The sequence below is a fragment of the Homo sapiens genome, chromosome 7, assembly GCF_000001405.40.
Source record: "Homo sapiens chromosome 7, GRCh38.p14 Primary Assembly".
NCBI lineage: Eukaryota > Metazoa > Chordata > Mammalia > Primates > Hominidae > Homo > Homo sapiens.
In genome coordinates, this window is record NC_000007.14 from 141,073,265 (window position 1) to 141,095,524 (window position 22,260).

Sequence of the window (22,260 nt, forward strand, 5' to 3'; positions counted from 1 at the left end):
GGCCGGCAGCGCGCCGTGGCGGCGTGACCTGTCCATGGTGTTGAAGGCGCGGTGGGCCGAGCCCCTAGCGCCGCGCGCAGTGAGCGCTGCCTGGTGCACCCTCCGCCGCGCAGCCCGCCCCTCGCGTCCGCCAGCAGCCGCCCAGTCTCCGCAGATCCCAGGCCGGGTCTCGTCCGGTAACGCCGCCCGGGTGAACACGCTGTCGGCCCGAGGGGCCGCCTGAATGGCGATGCCAGAGGCAGGGCACCGGGGAGCTCGCGGGGAAAGGTCGGCCGAGAGCGTGCGTCCGCGGGGAGTGCGCCTCTGAGCGCAGCACGCGGGTCAGAAGGAGCAACCGACCTGCTGGTGACCAGAGAACGGAGATTTTAAGAGGACCCGACCCAAAGAGGAAGAACATTTCTGGGTGCGCGCCCCAGGTCTTTGCTTGCAGACGGGGAGGGGGAGAGGCTCTGAGCCAGAGACCCAGGAGGGACTCCGAGAAGCCGGCCCCAGCACCTGGAGGTTTCTTTCGCCCGCCGGCCGCATCCGGGGCGTTCTACTTCACCCGGTGGTCCAGTGGCGCCTCCTGACAGCACCCCCCGTCCCCCTCAGAGAGACAGGCGAGTTCTGTCCCGTCACCATCCTGCACAAAGAAGCCCCACCGCAGCCGAGGACACTTGGCATTTAGTTTCCGGCCCGAGGGCAGCGGCGCCCGAAGCCGGGCTGGGAGCCGAGGCGGCTGCTTCGGGGCAGTCGCTTCCTGCGGGGCGGGGAGGGGGCGGGAGGCGGCCGCGCTGGGTTCGCCGCCGCCGGAGGCTGCACCTGCCTCAGAGGATGCCCAGGAGCCCGCGGGAGCCTCTCCGGATCAGAACTTTTTAGGCCGCCCGCCCCCATCCCCGCAGTCCCCGGGCCGTGCTCCGGTAGGCGGGGGCCGAGGGGGCGCCGCGGCGCGAGTCCCTCTCCTGCCCCCTCCCCCAGCTCGGCCGCCCGCCGCTTTGTTCCGGGTGCGGCGAGGGAAGGCGAGGCTGCGGCGGATCATGCCCATGGTGTAGCCGCCAAGCGGAGGCATGGCTGCCGGAAGGTTACTGCTCTACACTGGCCTCTCGCTAGCGCTCTGCGCCCTCGGCATGCTGGCCGTGGCCATCTGCTCGGACCACTGGTACGAGACGGACGCCAGGAAGCACAGGGACAGGTGCAAGGCCTTCAACACCCGCCGGGTCGACCCCGGCTTCATTTACAACAATAACAACAACTTGCCGCTCCGGGCGAGCCGCTCGCGCCTGGACCGCTGGGAGGGCAAACTCCTCCGGGCCCGGAATCGCCGGCAGCTGTTCGCCATGAGCCCCGCGGACGAGTGCAGCCGGCAGTACAACTCCACCAACATGGGCCTCTGGAGGAAGTGCCACCGGCAGGGCTTCGACCCCGAGATCGCCGCCCTCATTCGGAAAGGTAAGCGCCGGGCGCAAGGCGTGGCGCTGCGGAGAGCCCGGCGCCTTTAGGCCCCGCAGCCCCTCGCGTCTCCTTCCCAGGCCACAGGCTATCAGGTCTCTGGGTTCCAGGCGGTCCGGTTATCCAGGCCTGGCTGAGCCTCGGGGCCAGGACTTGCCTCCCAATAGCTGTTAATGAAGCTTGGTGCAGGCTTAACTCTCTCCCCTGCCTCTCCTTTCGCGCGTCTCTGTCGGGATTCGAGTGGAACCTCATGGTCCAGGGTTCTTATCCAGGATAATGCTTCATCAGCCTCTGAGAAGAAGGGAATCTGGAACGTTGTTTGTGCTCTTAAAGGAAGCCCTTTAGGAGTCATGTGTCAGGGGTAGACAGGTTCCTAATTTTTGTTGAACTGATTTAATCAAGGAAAATTGGGGGAAACATTTCACAGAGAAGGCCTTATTCATACCAGAAACGTTTGCTGAGCGCTATACTATACCAGATATGGTGTAGGCACTGGTCATATAAACATCAATAAATCACAGCCCCTGTCCTGTAAGCAGCTCCAAGCCAGCTGACCAGCAGCATCATATCACAATTCTTTATGTCTCCTTCTGAAACAGTGGTTGACTGTAGTGACTTCTGTGCATCGAATATCAACAAGGTCTAATAAGTAAAAAAAAAATAGTTCTTTCAGTAACATCAAAGTGGGCATGTCAGAGAAAAAAAATAAGATTTTCAGAAAATGTATATAAAAATTCCCAAAGTGTATGTCAAAACACAAAACAAGCTGCATTTGCTAATGATAAAAATTTATTTGATACTTTAATATGATCACATTACTTAAAAAATTCTGCTTATCGGATGGAATTTGTAAACCTTGTATGATTTATACTTTGGGAACCATCCTGTTGTCAACCCACTGGAATATTGTTTGAATGTGTATTAAAACTGCTCTGAAGAAAGGAATATGTTCTCTTCTATGGTAGCTACATCCTAGGAAGATGTGCAGATTTTATGAGTCTGGTTTTTTTCCCCTTGTGTTTCATTCTCTTTAACTATTAAATGGTGATGTCAAGGTGACAAAGATACTATTATTTGCAAAGTTTTTAAGGCCAAGATATAAAAGCAGTTCTTAGTGTCTCATTATAATGCTGTGAGGTTTGCTGCTGTATTAAAATAATATTTATGAGAACTGATGTTCTTTGATGGATACAAGTGTGCAATTGATCAGAAAAAATTGTTAATTTGCAAAAAAGTCAAGTGTTTAAGAATGACAAGCAGTGGGTCTGGTCTAGGTGGCCAGGTCAGATTTAGGTGAGGTGGCTTCAGAGACAGAATCTATCTGTTTGTTTTATAGCTTCTTTAGAATGACTAGGGATTTTAGCTGATTTTGTTATTGGTGTGTTAATACAACCAATATCCCATTTGCTTCACAATTGGGTTCTTATTGGAACAAGGTGACCCATTTGGAGCACTACCACTTTGTAAAGATGTACAGAATATTAGGGGAGTCCAGAAGAGACCAACTTGGGTTTGGCTGCCAAGGCAGGAAAACAAGAGGGCCTAGAATAGTTTTTGACAATGAGTGACCTTATAACAGTTTTGAGATTCTCAGATTTATAAAGTGTTATTTTATCCATGATTTTCTGCTTTCTTTAAAATTGAAATGAGAGGAAGTTAGCTGAAATGTGAGGGAGAATTCATGTTAATAATGAACAGCAAACACTGGGAGAATTTGTTGAAGGATATTCTTACTTTTCCTTCCTTGAATGCCTTCTAGAATAAGAGAGGTATCCCTTCTTGTGTTGGTTAACCCCACTTAGAGAAAGGGGGATGGAATTCATGGTTTCTGGCGGTTCCATTCAGAGCTTTGATTCCCTGTTGCTCTGCTTGGCAGTCTGACTAGAAAGGTTGACTTGGTCTGTGCACTGGAGGGGTTGGTTGCCATAGTGACATGTTCTTCCGGTGAAGCTGGAAACAGAGACAGGGAAAGGGATAGGGGAAGAATGTACAACATTTTGATTTTGTATCGACTGATTTTTAATTGCAGCAACAGAAAATGGACATGGCACAGCAGGGGTATTGAATACACTGATACCTAGAGTTGGCAGGGCATTGTATTTCACTTGAACTAATGGAAATGGTGTTCCCCATCGCCCAAAATACAGCAATCACTGTCAGCGGCAAGCACCCGCTTACCATGGCTGTTTCTGTCCATTTGACATTCTTGTTAGGTATTATTGAGATAGATGACATGCCAGCCTTACAAATCTTGAGAGAGTTAAGGTCACTATCTTCATTTTTAACCTCAACACACACTCTTTGAAAACCAGATCTTCCTTTTCTGAGCAGCAATAGACACATTTTGGAAATAAGTGCATGTTATATTAGTAGAATTCACAAGCAATTCCAATAACATATAGAACACAATTTTTACACTTAGTGTTCCTCTTAGATGGGCAGATTTTATAAGGAAGTTAAAAAGAGAAACTGATATCCCTATATTTAAATGAGACATTTTAGAAAAAGATGTTTATCTCACATTATTCATTAGAAACCGCAAAAGAGATCTCAGACCTCTGTCTTCTTTGAAATATCTACTTTGATTAAAATTCTGGAAGATATGTAATGGGCAAGGGAAAAAGAAAACCAGAGAAAAGACTTTAAAATCCGTTAATATATAGGAAAATTAGAGACTTATCTAAATGATCTAAAGAACTTAGTTATTTGTTAAATCGATGTTCATTACATTAGAAAGTGCTATTTGTGCATTTCAACATAAAACCACATAATTAATAAGAAAACGAACATCAAATCTATGTCTGATTTGAAGGTAAAGTCCTCTGGATTCATATTCATTCTGAAATCCATTCCCCTCCAGGACCTTCTGCCATGCTGTACCCACACGTATGCATTTCTCATCACTGTGTATTCATTTGTTTGCATTATTAAACTGTAAGTTCCTAGAGGTCAGGAAAGACCATCATTTGTTAAATACATTCACCAGATGCTTGGTATTTGGGAAATATTTCATACAAATTAGGTTCACAGAAATGTATCCATCCAAGCTTATTCTAATTATAGAAACACTTGTGTGAGAATTTAAGTAAAAAATTAGAAAATCGTGATGGGAAAATATGAAACAGTGTGGCTGTCAGGCCAGGTCAATATTGCAACAAATGCTACATAATCTATGAAGGGACGATTTCTTGAGCTTTGCCAAAGAATAAGGAAAACAGACAATTCTGTTTTGGATAACATGTCACTAAGCAGACACATATCACTTGTGGACATTATTTTTTATGATGGATAAGGTTTTAATTATTTCCTTCTTGGGGGTAAGATTGGATATAGGGTACAGCAAGGGTAGATTACCCTGAATTCCCATTTGTTGGCATCCATGACAAGTCTTAAATCAGGTCCTTTTGTCTTCTTGCTTTTAAATCTCATCCATGTCTCCCTAGTAAGTGACTGCAGGCACTGGGGACAGATCAGTGACAAGATCAGTTTCTGAAATCCAAGAGACTTCCAGACCCTTAGGAGGAGGAGTTATAGGTAGGATTTTGTTCTAGGGAACTCTAAGGGGAAAATTATATTATTTGGTTTGTACTAAAATATTATATTGATATAGTTTGAAATAAGTAGAACTTCAACTGATACTCTAAGAACTTTTTATTATTTGAAAATTGGCCTTATAATAGACTTTGACTTAAAGAGTTCCCATAATCACAGAGTGGTTGTCAATACTCCAAAAGTAATTTTAAGAAAACATTCACATATTTAAAAATTAATAATGGGATCAGCAAATATTTACTACACATGTATTGTGTTATGGGCACACATCGCTAGGATGAAGAAATGCATAAGATCTGGTCCTCAGAATTTGCATAGTCTGTTAGTGTCAGAGAAAATAGGTTACAACTACAGGATGATGAGAGCAGCAACAGAAACAGATGCAGAGGAACACAGAGAAAGTGATGGTGGATTGTGTCGGCAGTAGCGGGAGGTAGGCAGGAGGAGGTTAGGGAAAGTTGTCCTGAGGAAATGAAATCTGAACAAGATGTTTGATAAGGTTTGGAGGTGGATGTGGAGGAAGGATATTTCAGGCAATGGGCCAGCATATGCACAGCCATAGAGGTGTGGAACAGCAGTTTGGCCTTGTGAGTGTTGATTTCTGGGGCAAGGAGAAGGAGCAGACCAGGAGCTGGAGAGCAGCCATGGACCAAGTCAGGGAGCTCGTATATCAAATCCCCTACAGCTATGCTGCCCAGTTGGGGAGCCACAACCCACATGTGGCTGTTCAAGTTAACAATAACCAAAGTTAAATAAAATAGGCTGGGCACAGTGGTTCACGCCTGTAATCCCAGCACTTTGGGAGGCCGAGGCAGGTGAATCACTTGAGTTCAGGAGTTCGAGACCAGCCTCGCCAACATGGTGAAAACCCATCTCTAGTAAAAATACAAAAATTAGCTGGGCATGGTGGTGTGTGTCTGTAATGCCAGCTACTCAGGAGGCTGAGGCAGGAGAATCGCTTGAACCTAGGAGGTAGAGGTTGCGGTGATCTGGTATCATGCCGTTGCACTCCAGCCTGGGTGACAGAGCGAGACTCTGTCTCAAAAAACAAACAAACAAAAATTATTTCCGTAGTTGTATTGGCCACATTTCAAATGTTCAGTAGCCGTATGTGCCTACTGGCTATTGTATGGGACAGTGCAGATTACAGTGAACATTCCCACCATCGGAGAAAATTCTGTTGGACAGCGCCACGCAGAGCCTATAGCCTCTAAAAGAACCAAGCACATAACTTTGTTTCAGATGAGTATAATTCCATGATAACTTGGGTTTAAATTTAAGTATATCATTCTACACTTTAAGAAACTGCTACTTGAATATATTGGGCAGAAGGCTTTAGTTCATGGTCAATTATAGTAAATTTATATTTTAATTTTCTATCATCAACTCACAGAATTCTCACAAGCTTCTCCCTTCTTCCCTCCTGCCCTCTCCATCTCCATTAAACATCACTTGCAAAGTTGGTGGGGTGGGAAAGAGATTAATGATAATTATAGCCAATCTTGATGACAGGTCTCTCCTAAAAGTTTTATATGTATTAGCTAATTTATTGTTCATAATAACCCTAGGAAGTATAAGTATTATTTTAAATTCTCATCCTAAATTTGAGGGAACTGAGGCACAGAAAGGTCAGATAACTTGTGAATTCTCACAGTTAGTTAGGAAACAAAGGTGTCAGAATTTGAATTCTGGCTCTGGATGTGGGAACTCACCCACCACACTCTACCATCATCTTAGAATCTATCGGGGCAGGAGTGAGGTGGAGAAGAAACTGGGATATTGATTCCACAAATTGAGAATAAAAAGGAAATAATACTCTTGGAATCTCAATTCTAAATTGAAGTAATGAGAGTGGCTCACACACCCTGTTTTGAAGCTCACTGACCAAAGTGCATACACATTTTGTCATATAACTTTTGCTTATTTACTTCGCTTGCTGTGGTAGATGCTGAAATTATAGACATGAAGGACACATTCATTCATTCAACAAGTATTTATTGAGGGCCTTTGGGCTGTGCATCAGGTACAGTGTTGGACCAAATGGAGAAGCTTACATTCCAGAGGGGAGAGACGGACAATAAATAAATACTCCACGGCTGGGCACGGTGGCGCACGCCTGTAATCCCAGAATTTTGGGAGGCTGAGGAGGGCGGATTACGAGGTCAAGAGATTGAGACCATCCTGGCCAACATGGTTGAAACCCTGTGTCTACAGAAAATACAAAAATTAGCTGGGTGTGGTGGCGCATGCCTGTAATCCCAGCTACTCGAGAGGCTGAGGCAGGAGAATGGCTTGAATCCAGGAAGCGGAGGTTGCAGTGAGCCGAGATCGTGCTACTGCACCCCAGCCTGGGTGATAGAGCGAGACTCCATCTGAAGAAAAATAGTCATAGAGTAAAAATAATATCTAATATATGAATCGTGTAATATAGCACAGGGTAATGGGCACCATGAAGGTCTGCCCTTACGAAGCGCAAAGGGGAAGAATGACAAGTAAGGCAAAAATGAAATGCAGTCATGTGCCCTGTAACATTTTGGTTAAAGACAGACTGCAGTGGTCTCATAAGGTTATCATGGAGCTGAAAAATTCTTATGGCCTAGTGACATCATAGATGTCACAGTGCAGCAACCCATTACTCCTGTGTTTGGGTTGAGGCTGGTGTAAACAAAGCTACTGCACTGCCGGCGGTATAGAAGTCTAGCACAAACAATTATGTACAGTATGTAATACTTGATAATAAAATGACTGTTACTGGTTTATATATTTACTATGCTATACTTCTAATCATTGTTTTAGAGTGTACTCCTTCTGCTTATAAAAAAAAGTTAACTGTAAAACAGCCCCAGGTGGGTCCTTCAGGAGGTATTCCAGAAGAAGGCATTGTTATCAGGAGGTGACAGCTCCATGTGCACCATTGCCCCTGAAGACTTTCCAGTGGGCTAAAATGTGGAGGTGGAAGACAGCGAGATTGATGATCCCAACCCTCTGCAGGCTTAGGCTAATGTGTGTGTGTGTGTGTCTTAGTTTTTAACAAAAACGTTTCAAAAGTTGAAAAATAAAAAATTTTATAAACAGAAAAAAGCTTATAGGATAAGGATATAAAGAAAGAGCCTGGGTGCAGTGGCTCACACCTGTAATCCCAGCACTTTGGAGGTTGAGGTGGGTGGATCACCTGAGGTCAGGAGTTCGAAACCAGCCTGGCCAACATGGTGAAACCCCGTCTCTACTAAAAATACAAAAAATTAACCAGGCATGGTGGCACATGCCTGTAATCCCAGCTACTTGGGAGGCTGAGGCAGGAGAATTGCTTGAACTTGGGAGGTGGAGGTTGTAGTGAGCTGAGATTGCACCATTGCGCTCCAGCCTGGGTAACAATAGTGAAACTCCATCTCAAAAAAAAGAAAAAAAAAAAGAAAGAAAATATTTCATACAGTTGTAAAGTTAAAAGAATTAAAAAGTATATAAAGTAAAAAATCTACAGTGAGCTGAGGTTATTGTTGAAGAAAGAAAAATATTTTGTATAGTTTGGTGTAGCCTAAGTGTACAGTATTTATAAGGTCTACAGTAGTGTACAGTAATGTCCTAGGACCTCACTTTCACTCGCCACTCACCTCTCACTCACTGACTCACCCAAAGCAACTCCCAGTTTTCTAAGCTGCATTCATGGTAAGAGTCTCCACAGGTGTATCATTTTTTGTCTTCTCTACTGCATTTCGACTGCATCTTTCCTATGTTTAGAAACACAAATACTTACCATTGTGTTATAATTGCCTACAGTATTCAGTACAGTAACATGCTGTTCAGGTTTATAGCCTTGGAGCAATAGGCTATACCACATAACCTTGGTGTGTACTAGGCTACACCATCTAGGTTGTGGAAGTACACTCTGATGTCTGCATGACGACAAAATCGCCTAACGATGCATTTCTCAGAACATATCCCTGTTGTTCAGTGACATGTGACTGTAGTTCCATACAAGGAGGCTTTGGGTGTTGCAGGGAAAAGAGGTGGTAAAACTAATATAGACTGGAGTTCAGGAGGTTTCATTAGCTGAGGGACCTCCACAGGCTCTTTCTTTCTGCATTCTTTATTGAATTCCTAGAGGGCAGGAACTGTTTAATGTCTAAAACACACTTGGGGTCCTGTACTTAGTAGGTTCTGAAAAACTGTTTGCTGATTAAAAAACTTAAGACATACTCACCTTCAAAGAAACACATGCAAACATCCATAGTCTTGTATACATGATGTGCACCTCCTTGCGTATACGCCATGTGTATGCCCATATGTAATAAATAAACACTCATAGTCCCATCTCTCCTCCTCAATCATCCTAAAACTCAACTAACCAGTGAGAGTCAGTGATTCAAGAAGAAAACCTGTGACTTACTGGGCAAATGAATGGATGGAGTAAAGAGATGTGTTTTGAGCACCTGCTGTGTGCAGAGCTCTTTGCTACGTGTGGAGGGAGAACAAAAAGGCATGGTTGGTTCCTGTCCTAAGGGAGCTTACACTCCAGCTCATGGTTTCCCAAGTTCATTGTCATGTGCAGTGGTATCAGGTGCTTCCTCAGGAGGTCTTACCTGCATCAATTGGATAAGGAATCAACTAGTCAGGGAATGCAGGAGTGAGCTCTTTTTATTGAGTCAACAAAGTCTAGAGCCTTTTTTTCTGTTGAAGAGGTCAGTTTATTTATTCTTTTACTGTAGGGTCAATTAGAGGATCAATACTGTGTATTCCACTTTGGATTGTCAGTTGAAAACATTTCCCCCTCTTTGCTATTAGTAAGTAATCCTAGGCCTTCAGGCAGAATGCTAAACACACTTGGGTTAGTTTGACCCATCATACACAGACACGCACACCTCCCCCCACACACATCTAGATGTTAGATGTTACAATCACAAGCGTCTATTTAGATGCAGATATGTTTGTAACTTACTACTCCCAAACAATCCACAGAGAGAGGAGGAAGGGTGTGACTTGGTGAATGAATAGATGGAAAAATCATCCTAATGTCTTGATTGCTGTTTTCGAGAGAATTCATATATTCTTTTATATGACTTATTTTCTCATATGTAAAATAATGTGTTTAGATTCTATAAACTCCAAGCCCTTTCATACTTTTACATTTGATGAGAAAGTTAGATTTAGGTGTCAAAGAGTAGATAATAGGTACATGGTTGAGGGAGGGTGAAAAGAGGGGCAAGGCAAAAGTTGATGGGGGGTGGGAAGAGAAAGAGGAAGGGAGGGAGAGAGAGAGAGAGACAGACAGACAGACAGACAGACAGATGTGAGAGACAAAGCAATTTCTAAAGAGATCATCCTGGGTTCTAGTTTGCAATAGGAATAGCTAATTTCTTACCACTCTAAAAACATGTAATAAAAACGAACTTTTCCTCTTTCAAATGGCTTGAAATGTGATTTGCAGTTCAGGGTTTAAAATGAAAAACCTAAGAGAAAGGTGATGACAGATGCACAACACTGTCAATGTACTTAATGCCACTGGACTTTAAAAGTGGTTAAAATGGTAAATTACCCCAAGGAAAAAAAAATACATTTAAACACTCAATAGAGAAAGGAACTGGATTCTGTTTAGTGTGTGGAATACTTCGTAGCCAAGGCTCTTCATTCATTCAGCAGAATTTTTTTTTTTTTTTGAGACAGAGTCTCGCTCTTGTTGCCCAGGCTATGTAGCTGGGATTACAGGCACATGCCGCCATGCCTGGCTAATTTTCGTATTTTTAGTAGAGATGGGGCTTTGCCATTTTGGCCAGGCTGGTCTCGAACTCCTGACCTCAGGTGATATGCCTGCCTCGGCCTCCAAAAGTGCTGGGATTACAGGTATAAGCCACCACGCCCAGCCTATTCAGCACATTTATTGAGCACCTACTATGTATTAGGCACAACCAAAGTATGCTTGGGATGCAGAAGTTAGTAAAACATGAAATTCCTGCCCTCGTAGGGCTTACAGCTAAACATTTTTGAGCCTTAGATTTTTTTTGCTTTTTCTGAACAGAGCTTTTAAGGAGTACCAATATATAAAACAAGGAAAACTAATGAATACATCCCTTGGGCCATTTAAAAATCATTGAATGGTGAAGAACATTTCACTGAACTTATTTAAAAAATGTCTATTAAGCACCAACAATGCCAGGCACATTACTTGAGGTGAAAGATTTTGAGTGAAATCTGTTGTTTCTGTCCTCATGGAGCTAAAAAGTGAGGAGATAGGTAAACTCACAAGTACAAGCCCCCTGGTTGGTTCTATGGGAGATTTCTGTGCTGGGAGCCTGGATGGCTGGGCCCCATCTGGGAGCCGTCAGCGCATGTTTTGCAGAAAAGCGGACATGTGATCCTAAGATGTTCTTAGAGAGAGATTTGTGGATTGATAAGGTGGAATCTCAGCCTCCCTTAAAAGTTATGAGCCCCGACTAGGTAATGCTTGTCTAGTCTCCCTGCCACCCCTGCTTGTCCCCCAGATGCCTGTCCTTCTCCTAAAAGGCAGCCATTGCTGCCCAAATTTTATAAATCATATCATATCAGAGATCGTATATTCATGATGTTTAAAAACAGCAAGTATAAATATAAGCCGGGCAGCAAACAGGTGATTCAAAGATGAAAAAAGTGTATTGTTTTGTAATTTTTTTTTTTGTTTGAGACCGAGTCTTACTCTATTGCCCAGGCTTGAGTGCAATGGCACGATCTCGGCTCATCGCAACCTCCGCCTCCCGGGTTCAAGTGATTCTGCTGCCTCAGCTTTCTGAGTAGCTGGGATTACAGGTGCGCACTGCCACATCACGATCTCAGCTCACTGCAGTCTCTGCCTCCCAGGTTCAAGTGATTTTCCTGCCTCAGCCTGCTGAGTAGCTGGGATTACAGGCACCTGTCAGCACTCTCGGCTAATTTGTATTTTTTTTTTTTTTTTTTTTTTTTTTAGTAGAGATGGGGTTTCACCATGTTGGCCAGGCTGGTCTCGAATTCCTGATCTCAGGTGATCCACCAGCCTCAGCCTCCCAAAGTGCTGGGATTACAGGTGTGAGCCACCATGCCTGGCCTATTTTTTGTAAATTTGTATGCACAGAGATGGCATTTAAATGACCTTCCAGGAGTCACTAGGATTCATCTACAGGTGATGTTTCCTCTGAGTAGAAGCTGCTGTGAGCATTCACAGAAGTTTGACAGATTTGCTGCTTTTATAGGAGACTGCAGTATCTGAATTATTTCAATTGATTTTTTTTTTGGCGTCAAAGTATTTTGCCAAGAAAAGGCAATTTACTTTATATTAGGTCATCGTCATGCATTTATATCATTTCCTGCTTTTTAAAATGCCCTGCTGTTCTATATTCTGGAGCTCACTCTGTTGGACACTTTATTTGCTCTGGAGTCCCTCTCATTCAGTTTTGCCCTCAATTTCTCTTCATCTTTATAATAGTGATTCTATTTAGGCAATGCAGCTCCATTTCCCCAAGGGCCTGGAGTATTCACAGGCCTGGATGGGCTAGGGTTGTTTTTACCTGAAAGAAGCTCCATGCTCAGGCGATGCTGCCTGCTCACTGGCACAACACTGGAGAGAGATGAGGTACTCTCTCATGAGGTTGAAGACGTGCGTGCCTGTGGCCCGGCCCTTCCACTTATGAGCACGTGAAGCCCATCCAAGAATGTCCATGGCACCACTGTTTGTGACGGTATCACAAAATAAACAAAAGATGTAAATGTTCATTAATAAGATAATGATGTATGGTATATTCATACAATAGAAATGATCATGGTATATTTGAAATACATGTATTAATATTAATTATTATTATTTTTTGAGACCGAGTCTTACTCTGTCGCTCAGGCTGGAGTGCAGTGGTGTGATCTTGCTCACTGCAACCTCCATCTCCTGGGTTCAGATGATTCTTGTGCCTCAGCCTGCTGAGTAGCTGGGACTACAGGCGCCTGCCACCACTGCTGGCTAATTTTTATACAGCAGGGATGGGGTTTCACCATGTTGGCCAGGCTGGTCTCGAACTCTTGACCTCAAGTGATCCGCCTGCCTTGGGCCTTCCAAAGTGCTAGGATTACAGGCATGAGCCATCATGCCTGATCCAATTAATATTAATATTAAAACATGTATTTCAAATATACTGTAATCATTTCTATTGTATAACACATGTATGTTAATATTATTACATGAAGCATATGTATATATTTCCAAATGGATAAACACAACTTTGAGTAAGAAAGGTAGGGTGCAGAATGAAATACAGAATAGGACACCATTTATACGAAGTTCAAAAACAGGTAAAACAATATTAGATATTCTCTAAAGAAACATATTTGCATTGTATGCATAAAAATATGCATGAGACTAATAAACACAAAATGAAGGATGGTATTTACTTTTCTCAAGAAAGGGAAAGAAATGGAATTGGAAAGGGTGCCAGGGAACTTCCAAAGCATCTGTGATACTTTATTTATTTATTTATTTTTTGAGATGGAGTCTTGCTGTGTCACCCACGCTGGAGTGCAGTGGTGTGATTTCTGCTCACTGCAACCTCCATCTTCTGGGTTCAAATGATTCTTGTGCCTCAGCCTCGATTACAGGCACCTGCCACCACGCCCAGCTGATTTTTATATTTTCAATAGCAACAGGGATTCACCATGTTGGCCGGGCTCTTATCGAACTCCTGACCTCAAGTGATCTGCCTTCCTTGGCCTCCCAAGATGCTAGGATTACAGGTGTGAGCCACCGCATCTGGCCTGATATTTTGTTTTTTAAAAACAAAAAAAAACAGAAGATCTGAAGCAAATATTCACATGCATGCACATTCAAGCCACATGAGTGACTGTTACAATTCTGATAAAAAAGGTAAAATTTTATTCAGATTGTGTTGTTCAGTGTGCAGGATGCAGGTTCTTTAAGGAAAATTACCAGAAAACTTTGTCCCTGGGGCAGTCTGTGGTTGACTTTTGTAAGTAGGAACAAGAAGCATTTAGAAAAAAGGGGAATCAGTTCATCCCTAACCAACAGTTTTCCTTGAAATTAGCTGTTAGAGAAGAGTGTAGACAGAATAACATTTTGCTTTATTCCCTTCTGATGTGTAAGAGGAGGAAATCAGGGCTTTACAATGATTGATTACTGAGATGGAGACTAATGGACAAGTCATTCCAGCCCCTTTTAAATTTCCTGCTGCTTGTGGAGAAAAAAAATCAAGAATTCCAAGAGCCACTAAAGTCACTTTTTCAATTAACTTGATCATAGATTGAACTTTAAATAGATAGAGCACTGAGACAGAGAGTAACCAGCTATTGAGGGTGTGAGACAAACCCAGAATTGAGCACAGACCTCTCAGAAGGCATTTTAACCCCAGGGAAGATAATTCAGCGAGAACTAGTAAAGAAAAGGTGAGAATTGATAAAAAAGAAATAGAGTATATTTGTCTTCTTTAGCAGTTTTCATATCACTTTTGAAACTGAGTAGAGAGTGTTAGTAAAACTTTAAGGTATTGATCATTTATTCTGAAGATTATGAAGGTGGCTTCAGCCAAGAGTCCTTATGTTAAGATCATGTGTTTCTGCCTTCCCTATTTATACAAACTATAGCTGGAATAGAAAAATCCCCTCAGAATTATAGCAAGAACTCCATTTTTCAGTTTATACTGCTTTGAAAAAACCAAAGCTGGCCTCTCATTACCAAGGGATCATGAAAGTTCCAAGGGATTTCAGGGGTGTTGAAGCAGAATAACTTCAGTGCTCATGTTTTGGTAACCACAGGGCTGGAAGAGATGCCCAGATGCAGCCCTGGACAGGCCTGGGCTGAAGGTCCCAGGTGGGTGTTCTGCTTGGTTCTTGATGCTCTGCGGGGAGGGAGACATGTTGCACTTCATGAGGTGAATGACCTTCCACTTTGGAAAAGCCTGGCCTCTGTGTCTTCAACCTCTTCTCTCTCACTCCTTCCTCAATGTCAGCATCAGTGGAGTGGAAGGTGACTTGCTTGGCCCTTGTTCTTTTTAGTTGTGGCTTCTCTGCTTGCCTGGCTTTCTTTCCTTCCTCGTGTGCACCTCCCATGCACTCCCATGTGCTAGGTTTCCTCACCCATCCCCCTCCTGAGACTGCTCCTGAAAAACCTCACTCCCTGGCTTTCCAGACACTGTTCTCTACCAGATCTGTGTGTAGCTCTATTCTTATTCCTTCTTCTTTGCCAGTTTTTCTTCCTCAGACTGTGTAGATATCCTTCAGAATTCCACTTCTCTTTCTCACTCTTCACCTTCTCCTGGATCAGTCTCAGCCACGTCTAGGGCCATTTTCTTTTATGCTCATGACTAGTTGCACTGGGAATCTCTAGCCAGTCTTTCCATCTGAGCATCTTGCCTATTGGATATCTCCACTAGGATCACCCATGGGTCCAAAGGAATCTATTTCATCTTTTTCCTCCAGACTCATCTCTTCTTCATTTTCCTCTGTCTTAGAGAACATGGCTCACTGCCATAAATGTGTTCTTTTGAGAATTGTGTGTTCATATCCTTTGCCCACTTTTTGATGGGGTTGTTTAAATTACTTTGTGAATTGGGGATATGGAGGCTTTAAGAAAAAAAATAAACCTTAAAAAAGAAAATAAATTGAAGTTTATTATATGCATTATAAAACAATTCACATCATTGTTCCTTTTAATAGTGAATCCCCCACCCTAGCCCAATGAAGTTATGAATCTTTTTAAAATGAGATTTCCAGATCTAGTGCATTAACTGAGATAAACTTTCATTCATTCAACAAATATTTACTAAGTACCTATTATGGCCCATGCATTATATCCATGCATTATGCAAAACCCTGTGGATAAAAAGGTGAGTAGGAAATAGTTCCAAAATGGTCTCAAAAGGGAGGGAAACATATGGGTAAGCAAATAAATACGACAAAATGTCACTATTGCTGGAAAGAATGTATGTTTGGTGTGTCCAGAAGCCTAAAGGAGGCAGAAAGCACTTCGACCTGGTATTTGGGGATGAGGGGACATCCAGCAAGACTGGGAGGAAGGGCTTTAGGCTGATTCCTAAGGGATTAGCAGGCACTGGACAGGCAGACTTGGAGGTAGGGGGCCGAGATGGGGAGGAGGCTTCCAGACAAAGGAAGAATCATGAGCAAAGGCTCCCAAGGGATAAATAGGAACACTTTTACACTGTTGATGGGACTGTAAACTAGTTTAACCATTGTGGAAGACAGTGTGGCGATTCCTCATGGATCTAGAACTAGAAATACCATTTGAGCCAGCCATCCCATTACTGGGTATATACCCAAAGGATTATAAATCATGCTGCTATAAAGACACATGCACACATATGTTTATTGCGGCACTATTCACAATAGCAAAGACTTGGAACTAACCCAAATGTCCATCAATGATAGACTGGATTAAGAAAATGTGGCACATATACACCATGGAATACTATGCAGCCATAAAAAAGGATGAGTTCATGTCCTTTGTAGGGACATGGATGAAGCTGGAAACCATCATTCTGAGCAAACTATTGCAAGGACAAAAAACCAAACACCGCATGTTCTCACTCATAGGTGGGAATTGAACAGTGAGAACACTTGGATACAGGAAGGGGAACATCACACACCAGGGCCTGTTGTGGGGTTGGGGGAGGGGGAGGGATAGCATTAGGAGATATACCTAATGTAAATGACGAGTTAATGGGTGCAGCACACCAACATGGCATATGTATACATATGTAACATACCTGCAAGTTGTGCACATGTACCCTAGAACTTAAAGTATAATAAAAAAAAAAGTCTAGCCACCACTTCATGATAATCTTGTCCACTTTTGCTACCCTTCTTGCCTTTCCCAGACTCTTCCTCTCATCAGCATACTTGGATACAGAGAAGCCTACTGCCATTCTTGTTCCTATCATGAATATAAGAATTTCCAAATCTGCTTCTGGACCTTTAAATTTTTTAAAAAAATTTAATTTTAGAGACAGGGTCTCACTCTGTGGCCCCGGCTGGAGTGCAATGGTGCAATCATAGCTCACTGCAGCTTTGAACTATGACCTCAAGGGGTCCTCCCACCTCAGCATCCCAAACCCCAGAGTGTTGGAGTTACAGGAGTGAGCCACTGTACCCAGCCTACTTCTAAGTCTTTTACTGGCATATCCAACTATTTCCTCAGCATCCATTTCCAAGTTTCTCAATGTTTATCAGCAGTAATGTCCTCGGGTTGTCTTGATGAAGCCTCTCTCTCAAACGTTGTTGAGAGCAGCCTCCTCATATCTCCTCTGATAGTGACTTTGGTCAGATAATGAGAACAGACTGATGAAGGAAAGCAGACTGTGCTTTCTGTAATTTCCTCTTCTTTGGTTTATTCTTCAGTTCACTTTTCATGACTTTCAAAATGAGTGGGTCAGTGATGTTGGGAAAACATGGTGGGTATCTGCCTCTGATTCTCTGATGTATCTGTCCCTATTGTGGTAGGTGAACATTACAGAAAGCATTTGTCCCCCATAGGGGGATTCAGGGACAGAGAGATGTCATGGCCAGCCAACACATCTTTTCTTACAAAGACCACCAAATTCCAGGTTAACAATATGTGAGAGAGTTTCACTCCTTAGGGTCTTACCGAGAAGCAGATTCTCTTTGGAAATGCCAGTGACTGTTGTTCAGTCCAGGTCATCTCACAGTCAGGGTTTTAAGGACTTCTCCTTTAGCCATAATATCTGAAGGGCACAGCCCATTGCCACCTAACTCAGATAAGTAGAGTAATTATTTTGCTTTTAGCAGATAAATATAGATATGGCTGCATTGCTTGGCTCTCTAAACTAGGTTGAATAAATGATTCATATCAAGGAAATATTTCCTATGACCCCCATAACTCCTGGATTTATATTAGGAGTTAATTATGCTAGGTTAAGCTGGAAAATGATTTCCAGCACTTTCTGCCCAAGTTGTATAAAGTGCTATAGGTCAAAATTCAGTAATAACCATTGGGTAGGCATTTCTGTTAAATTTGTGGTTTGAAGAGCTGGCTTTAATTTAAAAAAAATTGTAAATATTATTAATGAGTTATACAGTAATTCAGGTTTCATAAAATGGTGGGTAACCCTTTCACTGGAAAACTGTCTCTTGTTATATATATATTTATTTAAAAACCTGTAGGAACCCAGTGGTCTATTTCAAACTGAAGGTGGCATTTCTTCTCCTTGGGTCAGCAGAGTTGTTAACATTTCAAAGAAGGACATTTGTGCTCCTCTGCCAGCAGCATGCCTGTATCAGCTTTTATTACACATATCTTTAGTGGTGTGGTGGCTGGCTGGGTGCTTGTAGATCAATAAGCTGCTAAAAAGGGAGCTGCATCAGAGACCATAATGGCTTCTTCATAGGAGATAGATTGTCTCCAGGTAGTGAAGTGCATTTAGGAATAACAACAAGAATATCCCTGCATTGAGATCCTTATTATTTAGAAGAAAGAAATAGATCCTTTCAAGGTGATGAGTCCTAGAATGTACTTTGTTAATTTTTAGAGACGGAGTCTTGCTCTGTCTCCCAGGCTGGAGTGCAGCAGCGTGATCTCGGCTCACTGAAACCTCTGCCTCCCAGGCTCAAGTGATTCTCCTGCCTCAACCTCCTGAGTAGCTGAGACTACGGGCATGTGCCACCATGCCTGGCTAATTTTTGTATTTTTAGTAGAGACAAGGTTTCACCATGTTGGCCAGACTGGCCTCGAACTCCTGACCTCAAGTGATCCACCCACCTCAGCCTCCCAAAGTGCTGGGATTATAAGTGTGAGCTACCACACCCCACCTAATGTACTTTAACATGCTAAAGATACATTCCAGGAGGTCTTGTGTCCACTGTTATAGCTGAATTCCATACAAATTCAGCTTCTGTTAATGGAAGAATTCCCAGACCGAGAAAGACAGGATTAGTTCCCTTGGCCTCAAATATTTCTTGATTATAGTAATTCTTGGTTACCCTACCAATTTAAAAAAATCTTGTAATCTGAACACTGATTTTTAAGAGACTTGGGTGGGCTTGGATATAGCATCAGTGAGGAACTAGGAAAAGTAAACGCCCTGGAAATAAAGTGATATAGATGGAAGTGGAGGGTAATGGAAACCTGCAGAAGATAGCATGAACCTCCTTGGCTGAGTTTCTTGACTTGAAGGCTGGGGACACTTACAGTCTACCTGTGCAAAATGTACTTATGTACAGGTGAGGTCCTAGGTCCATATGAACTGAGGGAGGATGGTGACTTTTTCCAGTGGGGTAACAATTTCTACTTTATGCTTCTCCTTCATGATGCATGGGTAAATTATATAGATTATATATTCGCTTGTTCAACAAATATTTGATGAATACTTACATGTCATAATTTGTACAGGGGGCTTAGGATGCAGTAGTTCACTAAATAGGCAAAATCTTTTGCCTATATGGAGCTCATATTCCACTGAGAAAATGGACAATAATCAGATAAATAAGTAAAACATATAATACATTAGATAAAGCTTAGTGCTAAGGAGAAGAAAACAAAGCATGGAAAAGGGATAGGAAGTGTGAGGTGGTGAGTTGAAATTGCAGATGGGATGGCCAGAGAAGAGTGCACCAAGAAGCTGACATTTGAGTCAAGGTCTGAAGGACATGAGGAACTAGCTATGGGGCTCTCTGAGGAAGAGGATTTCAAGTGGAGGGAATAACAAGGGCAGTGACTTTGATGTCAGAGAATGGTGGCATGTTATAGAAATAGCAAAGGTGGCAGAATGAATGGGGCAGAGCAGGTGAGGGGGCTTGTAGTCAGATGTCAGGGAATTAAAGATCCATGTTACGTAGTGTTTGAAGGTCATAGGAAGCACTGCAGGATTTTGAGAAGAGGAGCGATGTGATTAGATTTATGGCTCAAAAGGATCCCTTGGGTAGCTGAATTGGTAATAGATTATAGAAGGGCATATATAGAAGCCAGGAGACCAGCCAGCAAAGATGGTGACTAGAACCAGAGTACAGGGAGAAGAGACTGGATTCTGGATGTATTTTGAATGGAAAGTTATCAGGATTGGCGGAGGGATCAGATGCAGGGCAGATGAGAAAAAGAAGTCAAAGATGGCACCAATATTTCAACAGGAGCTGGCAGAGCAGAGCTGCCATTTACCATGATGGATAGGACTGCAGGATCTTGTTTTGAAGATCTACTATTTTGTGTATGATAATCTTTGAGGTGCCTTTTTAGTTGCTCAAGGGGAGATATCAAGAGTTAGCTGGATATATAGGACCGAGTTTGGGGGAGAAGTCTCACTGGGGATGTAAACAGAGGAGTCATCAGCTCATGGTACTGGAAGTTGTGAGACTGAAAGAGATCACCTAGAGAGGGATTGATTGTAAACTTGGAAGAGAAAATATCCAAAGATTAAGCCCTGGGGCACTCCAGCTTGATAGAGCTCAGGGAGATGAGTTGGAATCTGCAAAAGAGACTGTGAGGAAGAGTCAGTGAGTTAAGAGAACATTCGGGAAAGTGTGCTGTCCTAGAAGCCAAATGAAGAAAATATGTTAAGGAGGAGGAAGTGGTCACCGCTGTGAAGTGCTGTCAATGGGTCAAGTTCAATGAGGCCTGAGACTTGAATTTTGGATTTCACAATGCAGAGGTCATTGATTTCAGTGTTGGGGGTAAAAACTTGACCAAGAGTGAATGGAAGGAGAGGAATTGGAGACGGTGAGCAAAGACAAATTTTTAAAGGAGTTTTGGTATAAATATAAAGAAAGAAATGGTAACTGGACTGAGAAAGTTAGGTCAAGAGAGACTTAAGTTTTTCTTTTTAAATTAGATAAATAAAAGCATAGTTGTAGGCTGATGGGAATGGTTCATAGATAGGGACAAAACTGATGGTGCAGAAAAAACAAAAAGGAGAGAATAGAATTGCAGGAGCAACTGCTGGATAGGGTTGAAGTAGGAAGGAAGGTGGGAAAAAAAAGATGGAAGGAAATGAACATGGCCCAGGAAGAAACACATGTTTTAGGTGAGGCAGGAAGAAAAAATTGGAGATGGCCTTTCTTGAAGCAAGGCATCAATTATTTTACTCACATTACAACCTAATGGGAAAATAGAGCAAAGAGCTTTATGCTTTTTAGAAGAGAGTTTCTATAGTACTTTAGCATCTTTTTATTATTGAGTAATTAATGGGAGTTCTCTGAAGAAAGCAGGATTGGAAAGTGAACCTTACTCTATTCTATTTGGGTATGGTGGTTTGCATTTGCTTTATAAAAAGGATCTCTGGTCAGAGTAGCCTAGCTATTCTAAGCACTGGGTGGCTGGTGATTGGTTGGACATTCTGAGACATTTTGGCCTCAGTTAGTTGGAATGTGACACGCTGTGTCTTGAAGTATGGTGCTCTGAAAAGCATAAACAGGTTTCATTTTTTAAAAGAGAGGACAGTGCATCCTCAAACCTCTCTTTCTAGTTGCTATCTCCTGTAGGGATCCTTTAGCCAATGGTTTCTGCAGTTTTTAATTTAATAGCATCACTCTAATTAGAATTTAGGGTGCTTTGGCTCTGATGACATTCAGGTCATTTTTTGAGATAAAGCTGCTTTATTTTCAGGCTGAATAGCCACATTCTTGCCTTGTCATCCTAAAAATGCTTCACTGTGTCTGCATTTCAGAGCCTCTGATTAAATGACTGAAGACCTATAGTGATGCAGAATCAATTTCTTTGTTATTATACTGTTAAGTTCTTTTTAAAAACGAAGTGCAATAATTCCTTGTAACCTCCCCACAACAAGTATTTTCTACATTAATATAGAAATTACGGTCACAAAACCTTCCTTTCTTGGAAAAAAGAGTCTGGCTATTGTGTGAAAATTATTGGCCACATTTATAGGCAGCCACTTTGTAGGTTTTTTGAGAAGGTATGGATGTCATTAGCCTTTTTTATTTCTTCAGTGGGGTTTGTAAGGACTCAAAATTCTAAGAAAAGCTGTGTATGTTCTGGAGACAAGGAATAACAGGTGCAAGTTAGTGGAGCAGGTGGTGTATCATTTTCCCCATTGCCTTCTACTCAGAAACGGTGGGATACTAGTTTCCAATTTGGAAACCATGTGAGAAATGCCATTTAGTTCCACCTGTAATTTGCCTTTAACTTTTGACTTTTTCTTTACCCTTCTGATGTGTGTCTGGTAATATGATGAGTTCTACCTGTAAACAAGTAGATTCTTAATTTCCATAAAATGTTTTTTGGAATGTGTGTCATGACCAATTTTATTTTTTCAAACTCTTGGGAATTTTTTAACTTATGATTTTTCTCTGTTACGTTAT

At 42.5% G+C, this 22,260-nt stretch overlaps 1 protein-coding gene across 4 annotated transcripts in view; it reads left to right on the forward strand.

Annotated features, from left to right (window-relative positions):
* Positions 1-799: 799 nt before the first annotated feature.
* Positions 800-22,260, forward strand: part of TMEM178B (transmembrane protein 178B) — a 437,233-nt gene continuing 415,772 nt past the window's right edge. For all 4 annotated transcript variants that reach the window (XR_001744505.2, XM_017011636.2, NM_001195278.2 and 1 more), the window contains exon 1: positions 800-1,428. Coding sequence is in view for 3 of the 4 variants with exons in the window: in XM_017011636.2 (XP_016867125.1) it covers positions 1,047-1,428 (382 nt within the window). In the remaining variant the exon portion in view is untranslated. The remainder of the gene's footprint in view (positions 1,429-22,260) is intronic.